At 42.9% G+C, this 13,906-nt stretch overlaps 1 protein-coding gene across 4 annotated transcripts in view, besides 1 other annotated feature; it reads right to left on the bottom strand.

The window, feature by feature from the left end:
- RBFOX1 (RNA binding fox-1 homolog 1) overlaps positions 1-13,906 on the bottom strand; it is a 2,473,620-nt gene that overhangs the window by 1,707,899 nt on the left and 751,815 nt on the right. The window lies entirely within an intron of this gene.
- Positions 1,595-2,794: an enhancer, noted in NCBI's record as "P300/CBP strongly-dependent group 1 enhancer chr16:6052649-6053848 (GRCh37/hg19 assembly coordinates)". NCBI's record gives its function as "activates an origin of replication core promoter dependent on BRD2, BRD4, P300/CBP, MED14 and CDK7 cofactors, with strong dependence on P300/CBP, by STARR-seq in HCT116 cells {active_cell/tissue: HCT116}" and the evidence as "EXISTENCE:reporter gene assay evidence [ECO:0000049][PMID:35650434]".

Raw genomic sequence — 13,906 nt, 5'->3', positions numbered from 1 at the left:
TTGGGGGCAGGGACACTGTTGCATTTCTCAATGTGCTCCCAGCTCTAGCAGGTGCCTGGCCCATAGCAGATGCTCAACAAACATTGGCAGAATGACTGCATAAGGGAATGAGTGTCCAGATGGGCTTATGAAACATTATCCAAGAAATGGAGTTCCTGGAAGGTGTGATCATTCCTTAAATGGCTATTGTATTAGAAAATTTCAGCTGCAGGGTGTTTTTCCCCTCTTTCCACGAATACATTTGAACGAAATATAAACTTCCGCATTTGAAGTCATGTGACTTTCTCAGCAAATCTATTACTGTCTGTGTGTCTCATGCTCCTGGTATTAAGAAATGGACTCTTGGCTTTTTATAATTTCTAAAGACAGAGGAAATATTTACACTCCCATTAAAACACACTCTCTTCTTAAAGTTCCCCCAAGTTTTGTTTTGTTTTGTTTTGTTTTTTAGCAACAAAACAAATTTCATGACCCTTTCCCTCATCCGATTTTGGTTTAAGACAAGACTGTGCATGTGACATCTTCATCTAACACACTGCACGCTTGACTAAGAAATGCACACATCACCAGCAGCTCAGGATTCCACCTAAGGTCTAATACGTTTCTCAGAAAGGACATTCAAATGTCAGATGGAATGATTTACACTGCATGTCAATAAAAAGTACTCCGAGGTTCACCAAGTCAATAAAGCTTATTAGAACAATCTTAGGGCCGAGTATCAATATACCCTGATGAGGACCTCTAAAGTCAGACACTATCTCAAGGCAAGGGGCATTAAATAGACCATTCTGGAGAGAGAAATAAAATGAAAGGCTTCCATTATTTTGAGAGTGCATGTTAAATGAATAGCATATAAGAAGCTGCAGAAATCTGTGTTTATATTCCCATCATTAAAACCTTCTGGACATTCATTGAGTGGCCATAGACTAAAAGTCTCTGATATGCCAAGTATTGCATCAGGCATATCACACTGACCCATTTTTTAAGTTCACAAATGCTTCAGTAATGCTTCCTATGTACACTTTCCTAAATCTTTACAAATATTAACTATGTAAACCCTCATTATGACTCTATGCAATGGATAAAATATTATCTCCATTTTGCAGATAAGAAAACTGAGGCTTAGAGAAGCTAAGTGAAATGTCCAAGGTCACCCAGGTAATAAGCAGCAGAGCCTGCAGGCAAAGCCAGGTAGTCAGGCTGTAGAGCAGGTATTCTTTTTTATTTTCTTTAAAAAAAATTTTATTTTATCTTAAGTTTCAGGATACATGTGTAAGACGTGCAGGTTTGTTACACAGGCAAACGTGTGCTATGGTGGTTTGCTGCACCTATCAACCCATCACCTTGGTATTAAGCCCCACATGCATTAGCTATTTATCCTAGAGTACATATTCTTAATCACCGTGCAACATGACCTTGTATGCATTGCCTTCTAGTCCTCTCAATAAACTCTCAATAAACCCAAAGTTTGGCCTGCTGAATATTTCTAAAATTAGCATTTCAAAGTCAGGAGACTTCATAGAAAAGCCAGATTTGTGGACTCTCTTAATAAATCAAAACATCTGGCCACCTAGGCCTGCTCTCTTGAAGGCCTTTGACAAGAGGCCTCAGTTGGGGGGCACAGACCCTCCTCACTCATTTGACCACTTGTGTGGTTCCTGAGGCATTTGAGATTGAGACCCTGGCTTAGCTGTTTTGCAGACAAAGATGCTGAACCCAAGAGATGTTAAAGAACTTGGCCAAGGCCCCAGGCCTAGGGAATAGCAGAGGCTAGCTTTGCAGTTGGCAGGATCCCAATAGGAAAGAAAAGACCTGGCACACTCCAATGTAGGTGATCAGGAAGCTGTCGCTGTATTTAAAAAGGCACTAGCTACAAAGGTACCGCAGGGGTGGAGCAATGACCCTAGACTCCTGTCAATGAAGTCATCCTTGTGCCTAGGTCTCAAACAATGGGCCGGGTGGGAGGGGTGGTGGTGGGCGGTGGCGAGAAGTAGTCACCAAAATGCAGGAGGAGAAACTGTTTGGAGCAGGTGCATTGAGAGGAGGAAGAGCTACCTTCAGGCAAGGAGCACAGGAGATCTCACAAGGAGGGAACCAGGGAAACAAACGTCTTGATCTCATTTTTCTCTTTCCCTCTCATTGCTTTTTTTTTTTTTTTTTGGAGACAGAGTCTTGCTCTCTGTCGCCCAGGCTGGAGTGCAGTGGCGCGATCTCGGCTCACCGGAAGCTCCGCCTCCCAGTTTCATGCCATTCTCCTGCGTCAGCTTCCGGAGTACCTGGGACTACAACCGCCCGCCACCACGCCCAGCTAATTTTTTGTATTTTTAGTAGAGACGGGGTTTCACCATGTTAGCCAGGATGATCTCGATCTCCTGACCTCGTGATCCACCCGCCTCAGCCTCCCAAAGTGTTGGGATTACAGGCATGAGCCACCACGCCCAGTCTTCCCTCCCATTTCTTGTGTCCCCCAACGAGGAAAATTGAAATGGCTGTCAGAGGATCTACAACCTTGTTGATGAAGGGCAGAGAACAGGATGGAAGTATGTGTAGAGTGCATATCTCAGATACCACAGAGGATATTTAACACACAACCCTATGGGAGTCCACAAACCACGCTCTTCCCACTTTATTTGCTCTAACTCAATCAATTTACTATTGTAATCATATTGAAGAAATTAGCAAACATAAATATGGTACTTAAAATGTGTCAGCCACTATTTTAAGAACTTTATATTGCTTTATTCACTTTTCCAAGTGCCTATCATGTGCTAGAAGCTGTGTCCTTTCTGGAAACACAGAACGGTAGGAGAAGAAAGAGTGACAGAGATCTTAGTGATTCTCTTCTCTCAATTATGGAGTTCTCTTCTCTCAATTATGGATTCACTTCTCTCAATTATCTCCACCTACTTCAACCTTTCATTCAAACTCATGGGCAAAGAAGATTTCCTGTTTTAAACAACAGGGCACCAAAATCAGTTCAAAATGCAAAGGTGCATGCCATGTGGAAAGTGAGTCTTGTTAACTAGTACGCACAGCCAGAGCTGCTACTTCCTCTGGGTCTCCATGTCAAAACTCTATTTCCTCTGTACCACTCCCTCAGTTCTTGAGAGCAAATTAGCCTGTTAATCTAGGACAAAAGAGACACAATCGTAAGTTGAAAATGGTAGCCACGAGCGGTCGCTCATGCCTATAAAATGAGAACTTTGGCAGGCTGGGGCGGGAGGATCATTTGAGTCCAGGAATTTGAGACCAGCCTGGGCAACATATCAAGACCTAGTCTCTATAAAAAAAATTATCTTTTAATTAGCCGGGCATGGTGGTGCATGCTTGTAGTCCCAGCTACTGGGGAGGCTGAAGAGGGACAATCGCTTGAGCCCAAGAGTTTGAAGATTTCAGCCCAGGGGCTGAAATCATGCCACGGCACTCCAGCCTGAGTGACAGAGCAAGACCCAGTCTCAAAAAAAAAAAAAAAAGGTTTAAGAGCTATAGATTATTCATGTTTGAAGGGAAAATTTCTAGCCCTACAGTAATCATGGGAGTAAAGAATAGGGGAAGAAGAGGGAATGAGGAGGGCCTCAGAGGGTTCTGAGTCCCATTGGATATTCCAGTTTGGCTTATTGCAGTGTTTCCCAGGCTTTAGTCATCTGTGCACCACCCTCATGGCTTCTGTCATATATTTGTACCAGCTGCACTCTTATAGAGTTGATATTTTTCTTGAAACTATTTCCTTATTTAAATTAATGTATTTTGAAATGAAAACATTAACATCCTAATTAAAAACTAGCATTGTTACCATGTATTTAAGCAAATACATAAGCACTAAGGTTAATAATCTTGTCTCTGTAGTATCTAAAATCCATCTTGTATATATTTAATTACGCACTTATCTCGGGAAAACATTGTTAAAAGCATGGACTCTGGAGTTAGACATGATGGGGTTCAACCTCCCAATTCTGCTGCTCCAGAGGAATTGCTTTCTGTAATTCGAGCAAAGTCCTTCACAGTATGTGTGGCCCATGGAAGGCACTTGTAAAATATTACATTGCAGAGCTCCACAAGCCACACACCATTGGTGGTTTCTTTACTGGCAATAAAGACACTTGATCCTAGTGTCTTTATGCCAGTAACTCTTACATAAATCCTACAAGTGAAAATCTAGAGAAAATCACCTCATTGGAAATTATCAGAATTCCAGGACCAACTCAGCCACTGGAGAGCTCCAGGCTAATATGTGGCAAAGCATGCTGTGCAAAGATGATTCTCCAGTTGGTCAAATATTGTTGCCTCTAGCTCACAACAGCTTACCAGTAATTCTGAAGAAGTGGGCAGAGGCTAAGATATTTTAATTAATTTTAATTTAAATATCTACCCATCTGTCCATCAACCCACCTACCCATCCATCGATCCACCAATCCACTCACCCACTCATCTACTCATCCGTCAATCCACCCAGCTATCCATCCACCCATCCACTCATCTACCCACTCATTCATCTACCCATCCAACCACCCATCCATCTAAATACCTACCCGCCCACCCACCCACCTACCTACCTATCCACCCACCCATTCATCCACCCACCTACCTGTCCACCCACCTACCCACCCATCCATCCACCCACCAACTCATCCACCCACCTAACCATCTACCTATTCACCTATCCATCTACCTGTCCACCTACCCACTCATCCATCCATCTACCCATGCACTCATCCACCCATCTACCCATCCACCAACCCACTCATCCACCCATCCACCTAGTCACCCATTCATCTACCCATCCACCTACCCTTTCATCCATCCACCTATCCATCCATTCAACAAATATTTAAGTAATTCTATTTCCTGGCACTGTTCTAGAGGCTGGCTAGTTATACAATATTCAGCAAAGGAAAACATAGAGTTTTCGCCCTTATTTTGCGTACAAGAGAGTGGCAGACACAAGACAGGCATGCACGGGATCCAATTTTATACTCTCCAGATGTGTTCAGCACCACCTGCCCCTTTCCTCAAAGGAAATTCTGGCAAAGGAAACGCCCCCACAGTGCCTCCTATCTTAACATAACCCAGCTGTTACTGCCTCTCCCTGGTCAGGGCTGAGCTTTGGCATGATCTTCATCATGTCTGCTGTGACTTCATAACCCAAGTCCAAACCAACCAGACTCAGGAAGTCTACGGTTTGTCCCACTACTTCCAGCTTCAGAGGAAGCATCGCACCAGGGGGGCATGGGATCTTGTCCAGGTACTGCCCTAAGAGGCCAGAAAACACATCCTGTAAATGTAGATGAGTTAATTCTCTCACTGAGTGAACGTGTCCTATGAGATAATAGGAGGAGGTAAGGCCTTGGCAGACACACCCTTCTCTCTTCCGACAAATCACTGCAAGGTACAGTCATCCCACACAGCCTGCCTAAAAAACATCCCCTATAATGGAGCAACTTACCATTGTTCCTTATAAAGCTGTGGTCCGCTCAGTAACATACCACCTTATATATGCTTGCTTTCTTTCCTTGTCTGATTTCCCTTCTTCACTCTTTTTTTTTTTTTTTTTTTTTTTTTTTTTTTTTTTTTTTTGAGGTGGAGTCTCGCTCTGTCGCCCAGGCTGGAGCGCAGTGGTGCGATCTGCGATCTCTGCTCACCACAAGCTCCGCCTCCCAGGTTCACGCCATTCTCCTGCCTCAGCCTCCCAAGTAGCTGGGACTACAGGCGCCCGCCACCAAGCCCGGCTAATTTTTTGTATTTTTAGTAGAGACACGGTTTCACCGTGTTAGCCAGAATGGTCTCGATCTCCTGACCTCGTGATCCGCCCACCTCAGCCTCCCAAAGTGCCGGGATTACAGGCGTGAGCCACCAAGCCCAGCCGCACCCAGCGGCGCCCGGCCAACCCTTCTTCCTTCACTCTTGCTGCCCTGGCGTTACACCTCTTTATAAAGCCTTAGCATGTAAGTTTTGTTTCATTATCTGTTTTTAAGGAAATTTGAGGTTAAAAAAAATGAATCAAATGATCCTGCAAATAAGTATTTACAAGATGCTATGAAAGGTTTCAATGGGGGAAGAGTTTGACCCGGTCTGAAGACTTAAGGAAGGATTTATTTGTGGAAGTGATGTCTGAGCTGAGAGAAAAAGCCAAAGTTAGTTTGGGGAAGAAGCATGAGGGGGAATTCTAGGCAGTCAGAAAAGTATGTTCAAAGGCCCTGTGGTAGAGATAAGGTGGGAGAAGGGAAGAGGTGAGTAAATAATGGAAAGGCAGTGTTGGCAGGAGGCTGGGCATGCATTCTAAGGAGTGAAGACAGAGAGGACTGTTCAGAAAGTTTCCACTAATGAATTGCTAATGACTCCTGAGCCTCCTTCTTCACTCAACAACTCTGTCATGCTCCTTGAACAGAGGTCTCAGGCAGTCTGTGATTAATGGAGTGTTCAGATGATTCAGGATAAATGTTTCCCATAACAGTTCATCCACATAGATTTTTTTGGACTGGGAAATGCAGATAGTCCAGTATGTTCCATAGGGAGATGTTCCATAGATTAAAAAATTAGAAAAAATCCAGATGAACACAAGGAGATGCCATTTGGAATTAAATGGATTAAAATCTGACTGCAATATGACACGTGAATTTATATACGTAGTAACATCTGATGTGGGTGCCAAGAAGATGCCGACAGACCAGAAGGAGTATGCGAAAAAATGCCATTTGCACTTTAATTATGGACAATCAGAGACTGGGTAAAGTTCTCATATTCTGTAAGCAGAAAGGACATTCGGATGGGACGACAACACACCAGTGCACTCAGGATTTGGAAAAGGGTGAGGGAGGTGGCTCTGCACCCTCACACAACCTTGCTTCAGTGAAAGCCCCTCAGCTTTGATCCATTTTATATGCTGGGCATCCACATACATTTCACTCAAAGAAAAACAACTACATCATCTTGTTGAAAACACCCTAGCCCTAGAAATGTCCGAAGCCTCTTCTAGTTCTAAACACTCAAGATAGAAGTTCGCTTGCCCGCCTTCCCCCAATATCTGATTTAAACTACTGATTATTTTTTGATAATTCCTCACTCTATTTCTTTTGTTATAGACAATGCAAATGTAAATGTCAGTGTAATCTATTTTAGTTTTCCTCAAATTTAATGAATTGCAATAGATCCAGCTGTTGAGAATATCAGAGACTATCAAAGAGATCTAAGGGAGAGATCCAGGATAAACCTTCCACATCAGAGGAATCTAGTGTATGTTCATGAATTTTCCCCAGAACAAAACAAATGAAACCAGAATGAACAGGGACTTCGTACAGGGACTTGGTAGGTTTATACAGACTTGAAACTCTGCTGTACAGGGACTTGGTAGGTTTATACAGTCTTGAAACTCAAATGTCTTCTCACACAGGCACATTAACAATGACCAAGAGGAACTGGTGAGGCACCAACTGAAGTGGTAAATCCTTAACTCCAATGTTACGGCTTTTCCTATGTGGGAATAACAGCCACATTTTTATATTGTTCAAGAGATGTCGGAACTCAAATTTCATGTTATGTACTCTAACATCTTGAAAATCAGCAAATGATTGACTATCAGCAAATAAAAAAAAAGTAAAGTAAACTAAATGTACAGGCATTAAACTACATGAGAACCAAGCAAACAGGTTCATTTATTGGATTTGATGATCTCCTAGTTGAGTGAGATTTAACAGAAACTTTTACGGGAATGAGGCTTATTTTGCTCTTGGACGGTTTGCCTTGGGAAAATGTGAAAACCATTCCTCTTCCAACTTTAAAGCTGAAATCAATATTTTGTTTTCCTTGGCATAATTCATTTATCACCTGCAACCCAGGAGGCACAATGTGAGTGCCTAATCGCTCTAGAGATTTGGTGATTCTTCATGGAGTTCTTGAAGCTACCAAGAAGTACTATGTCAGATAAAGTACAGGTGTGTGCCACATTATCTGCCACATAGTCACAAAAACCCCACCTTCATATCACAGAGCTAGCATGTGGTTAAGCTCTGGATTTTCTTTTTAATTATACCATCAATCCTATCATGTAGCTACAAATTCATGATGCTTTCAGACTCAAGTCTAAACCAAAGTACCTTGCCCTAGACAACAGAATACAATTAAATAATCCATGCAGCCACACTGGGCTGTTTACCTTCTCCTTAACTGTAGAGGTCCAGGCTCCAACATCTTCATTCTGTTCTGTGCCCCAGGCAGGAGGCTGACCTGGACCAACAACAGCTATGGGCTTCCTGGTAGGTTTGGACAATGGAGAGCACCAGCAGAGACGGAGGTGCTTCCTGGTGGGTTTGGACAATGGAGAGCACCAGCAGAGACGGAGGTGCTTCCTGGTGGGTTTGGACAATGGAGAGCACCAGCAGAGACGGAGGTGCTTCCTGGTGAGTTTGGACAATGGAGAGCACCAGCAGAGACGGAGGTGCTTCCTGGTGGGTTTGGACAATGGAGAGCACCAGCAGAGATGGAGGTGCTTGCTCGTCAGTTTGGACGAACTATTAGGTTGATGCAAAAGTAACTGTGGTTTTTGCTCTTACTTTCAATGGCAAAAATGGGTTTCTTTACAACAGTGGGTTTCTTTTCCTCTGGCTTCCTGGAGGGTTTGGCTGATGGAGAGCACTAGCAGAGATGGAGAAAGGAAAGAGGGTGACATTGGAATATTTATTCCCCAGATTTCCTGCAGGGGAGCTGTGAGCTGTCTGTGACCGTCAGTTAAATCCCACAGTTCTCTCTACCTGAAGGTCCTTTAACTGCTCTCTCTCTTACCCCTTCAAGCCCCAAGGTGGTAAATGCCTATGCTGCAATTAGCCCTAGGGTACAGAATTAGCCCTTGTGATTTCCCCATTCCCTGTCCATGTTTTGCAAATAGCCCCCTCACTTACAAGTTACCTAATTTGAGTATGCTGCCTGTGCCCTCCTAGGACCTCCACTAATCTACACACAAAACCTCTCACTGCTTATTGGGAGAAAAAAAAAAAAATCACCCTCACACCTCCGTGAACTCCTCCAACCAGATTGCAAAGCCAGTTCTGAATATGTAATTAAGGGGAACCCAATGCTTGTCCCAAATCATTGTCATGACCTGGGTTCTCATGGGTTTCAAATCAGAGGCATGCCTTCTGTGGAGTCTACATCGTCTGGTGAAATGAATGCCATGGTGCGGATGTAGAGAAAGTTCTCCCTGCTGCAGAGCTTAAGAAGAGCTCGTGGAAAATGACCACTGTTTGCAGTTCAGTATCCCTTTCTGTTATGGTCTGAATGTTTATGTGCCCCCAAAATTAATATGGTGAAATCCCAACACCAAAGTTGATGGTGTTAGGAGGTGAGATCCTTCAGAGATGATTATGTCACAGGGATGGAACCCTCATGCTTGGAATTAGTACTCTTATAAAAGAGGTCCCAGAGAGCTCCTTTTCTCCTTCCACCATGTGAAAACAAAGAAAAAGATGCCATCTATGAACCACAACATGGGCCCTCACCACATACCGAATCAATCTTGGAGACTGCCTCAGTCTTGGACTTCCCAGCCCTCAGAACTGTGAGAAATAAATCTCTGTTGTTTATAAACTACACATTGATGCTATTTTGTTACAGTAGCCCAAATGGGTTAAGACACTTTCCTCTTAATGAAATGGTGAGAATGCCCAAGCTCCCTCCCTACCCTATTTATGGTACTGTGTACATCAGTTTGATCTAAGAGCCCCAGGAACTCTTCTTCTGTTTATATCAAAGATTTTCCACCAAGCTTGAACATAATCTGGACTTGCAATGAAGCAAAGGGTTGACTTGTAGCATCCAGGATTTCTGTCTGTCCATTCTATTTTAGAAAATTGAATTCTACAGCTAAGTCCTCACAGCAACAGTTAGATGCACAAAGATTTCTTTGTCCCCTCTCACATTTCTGTATCCTTATTCCACTTGGCATAATAATCATCCTTAAAAAGATTTATTTTTTTTCTCCCTCTCTCTCTAAATTCCTCTTCAAAAACCTTTGATAAAAGCACTTACCATCATGCTCTTCTGGTAGGACTCTAAAATTCATGGCGGGCAATCTATCTTAATGAGCTTGCCTTTCTACACAGAAGTTGCCCTATTCAGGTATTTATTTCAAGACAATATGTGGATTTGGGCTCTAAGATATATGTGCAACTATGTTTAGCAGTTTGCAAAAAGAAAGCAACGCAAATGCTTTCCCACAGAATATTGCTTAAAATGTGAAATACTGAGCAGTCAATAAATAAAAATAATGGTAAGGAATATTTAATTATGTGGAAAGTTGTTTTTAAAACACTTAACATTTCGAAGCAGGTTATAGTGTAAGGTACAGAAATGTACTTCAAGAAGACTTGGCAGAACTCATCTATTTGGAACTCATTTAAGATCAATGCATGGTTGTAGGAAAGGGGAAAAAAATATCTCCCAACCTTTCCTCCTGTCTCACAGCTAGTGAGAGGAGCCTGAAGCTGGGGCTTTTGGTTCCTGCATCGATGGATGTCACTTTTGCTGTGGGCAAGTTGATCTGTTCATGACACTGAAGAAGAGTGGAAACTCATCACTCAATTCGTAGATATGTATGCATTTCTCATTGGGCACTTGGCCCTTTGCTAGGCCCTGAAATATAGTGGAGAAGAAAAGAGACTTGCCCAGGAGGAATTTGTGGTGTGGAGTAGGGCTCATCAAACTACTGCCCATGGGCCAAATCCAGCGTGCCACCTGATTTCTCAAATAAAGTTTTATTGGAACACAGCCACACACACTCATTGCCATATTATCTGTGACTGTTTTCCCACTGCAGAGCAGAGTTGAGTAGCTGCAATGGAGACTGTAGGACCTACACAGCCAGAAATATCTATTCTCTGAACCTTGCCAAGCTCGTGTAGAAATATACCTGGTATAGAAATCTGCTGCTAAAATTGTGGTACCAGGACCACTTGGAAAAATCTGAAACTTTCAGTTTGCTCAAGACCTAATGCCCAGGAGTGGTGGCTCATGCTTGTAATCCCAGCACTTTGGGAAGCCAAAGCAGGGAGATCACCCAAGGCCAGGAGTTCGAGACCAGCCTGGCCAATATGGCGAAACCCAGTCTCTACTAAAAATACAAATATTAGCCAGGCATGTTGGCACATGCCTATAATCCCAGCTACTAAGGAGGCTGAAGCATGAGAATTGCTTAAACCCAGGAGGCAGAGGTTGCAGTGAGCCAAGATTGCACCACTGTACTTCAACCTGGGTGACAGAGCAAGACTCTGTCTCAAAAACATAAACAAAAAACCCAATGAATTGGCATCTGCGTTAGCAATACACCCATTACAGCTGGAAAAACAGGAACAGAGAGAGTCGAACGAGCCCCCATAGCTCCATTCCCATCCTGCATCATTTAACTCTTTGTGCAGACATGATCTCTGAGTTAGGAAAGGACTCCTCAAGTCATGCTTTCAGAGGAACCGTCCCATACGTGCCAACATCCCCAGCAGCAAAGTGCTTCCAATAAGGCATCCAAATCAAGTGCTGAATCTCCCACCCAGCGGGACCTGCTTCACTAAATAAGAATTAATATACATCATCTTCCCAGACTTACCTATCCTATATTAATTACAAGCACAGTATTTAACTTAAACGAACCATTCGGCCATATGAGCGGCAATATTCAAGCCATCAATTTTACGGCACTGCTCAGGAAAATGCAGCGATACATCATCCCACCCAAAATACAAAGGTCAAATGATATTAATTAATGCAGCGACACAACTCACTGCAGCTAAATGGGTAATCTTGATTATGGCTCCTTGATGGAGAACTAATGCCTCATTAATCTTAAACATATCAACCTGAGAACATCAGAGAAGTCAAATAGAATAATGGCCAACATTTCAATGAACACAGACTCATGCTTGCTGGGTAAGAAGGTGAATTCTACAGACTTGGCTGTATTTTCTGCCTCCTTCACCAGATGTGTTTACTGAGAGCTTCATACAAAACAGGCTTGAAAGTCTCTGTCTCTCTCTGTCTCCTTCTCTCTCTCTCTCTCTCTCTGTCTCTCTCTCTCTCACACACACACACACACACACACACACACACACACACACACACACGTACAGCATTATCAAATAGGCAGGCAAACAGGCACATTCTCTCTTGTGGTTTTCACATACATGCTACAAAAAGAAAGAGAAATTAATGGGTTTATATGGCTCAGAGCCCAGCCAGTAACAGTTACTCTGAGGTACCTGCATCCATGTGTTGCTACTTATTTATCATGTGTAAGTGGACAGAAGACAAAAGGTCACTGGTTCAACCTTGAGGACATGGCTTGTTCCGTATCTCTTTCAGTTTTAGACAGGATGGTACTTGTGGATTTGAGAGGGCCTGTGGGTAAGCATAGAGAAAGATCAGGCTCAAGCCCAGGGTCCCCCAGCCTGGAGCTGCCATGTCCTACTACTGACTCAAGTCGGCAGATGTCTGCCACTGTCATGCAAATCTTTTTTTTCTTTCTTTTGAGACAGAGTCTTACTCTGACACCCAGGCTGGAGTGCAATGGCATGATCTTGGCTCACTGCAACCTCTTCCACCTCCCAGGTTCAAGCAATTCTCCTGTATCAGCCTCCCGAATAGCTGGGATTACAGGCACCTGCCACCATGCCCAGCTAATTTTTGTATTTTCAGCAGAGACAAGGTTTCACCATGTTGGCCAGGCCGGTCTTGAACTACTGACCTCAGGTGATCCACCCACCTTGGCCTCCCAAAGTGCTGGGATTACAGATGTGAGCCACCACGCCTGACCACAAATCTTAATAGTGTCTCCTGTCAGAAAATATTAGTTTCTCATCGGATTCCTAGAGAAGCAACCACAAACTCCCCAACACACACATAAGCACACACACAAGCACACACACATACATGCACACGAAGGCTTGGTGACTCATACCAGTTGCAGGAAAAACCTGCAAGATCTAAGTTGGGGGATCCTGTCAAAAGGAATTCAGTCTTACGCATTTTCATTCTACACAGTACTGAGTGATGGCTAAGAAAGGGTTACCCATTGGTCTCGCTTTAATGAATAGATAAAATTTGAGTCAATTACTGAAGTAGCTTTTGCTGAACAGAGTTGCCTAAGCAATGTTAACCTTTTTTTCCCTATCTATTGCAATCCCACTGCAGCTGTATCATTCTGACATAAACAATCTTCTAAAGAACTTGAAAACTCTTTGTTCTTTGAAGAAGGAAGTTATTTTCCTCATTTTTTATTTTACTTCTTTTCTCTTTTTTTTTCTTCAGAATTTTTGATATTTTATGTCAAGGTAAATGTAGTCTAATTCAATTCCCAAAGATCACAGTTTGGTGAAGGATTTTTACAGTTCATCTCTCCTTACATTAAAGCTCAGCCCATAACTTTGTGTAAAATGTATATGCATTTTTACAAATCTCTGTATTTTTTTCTCACTACCTGATTCTCTCTAGCCTGTGTGTGCATAGCAATTCCAGTTAACAAGTGTTCAAATTTTTTTAAAACTGTGATGGTAAGAATGGTTGCTTTTAAATGCCTTCCATTGCTCAGGTGCTAGAGCATCAGATACACCATATCTAATTTCCCAGCCCTGCAACCAGGTACATGCTAAGGTTGAAGGAGGTTAGAAGTCTTATCAATCCCAGGCAACATTGTTGATTATTGGCAGGGCTGGGATTTTCCCGGGTCTGTTTAGCTCCTAAGGCAGGCTCAACTCACAGAGCAAACTTCCCCACAGAAGTTATAGAACTTCCAAAAAAAGAAAAAAAAAAAAAAAAAAAAACTATCTAATAATTTCCCAAACCAAATGGCATCTTTTCGATGAGGAGTTTCTCCTTGTGCAATTGCTCCACTGCGATCATTGAGTACAGATCTCCCAGCTCCTATCCAGCC

This window comes from Homo sapiens, chromosome 16 (genome assembly GCF_000001405.40).
Source record: "Homo sapiens chromosome 16, GRCh38.p14 Primary Assembly".
NCBI classification, from domain to species: Eukaryota; Metazoa; Chordata; class Mammalia; order Primates; family Hominidae; genus Homo; species Homo sapiens.
This window is presented reverse-complemented; position numbering and strand designations above follow the sequence as displayed.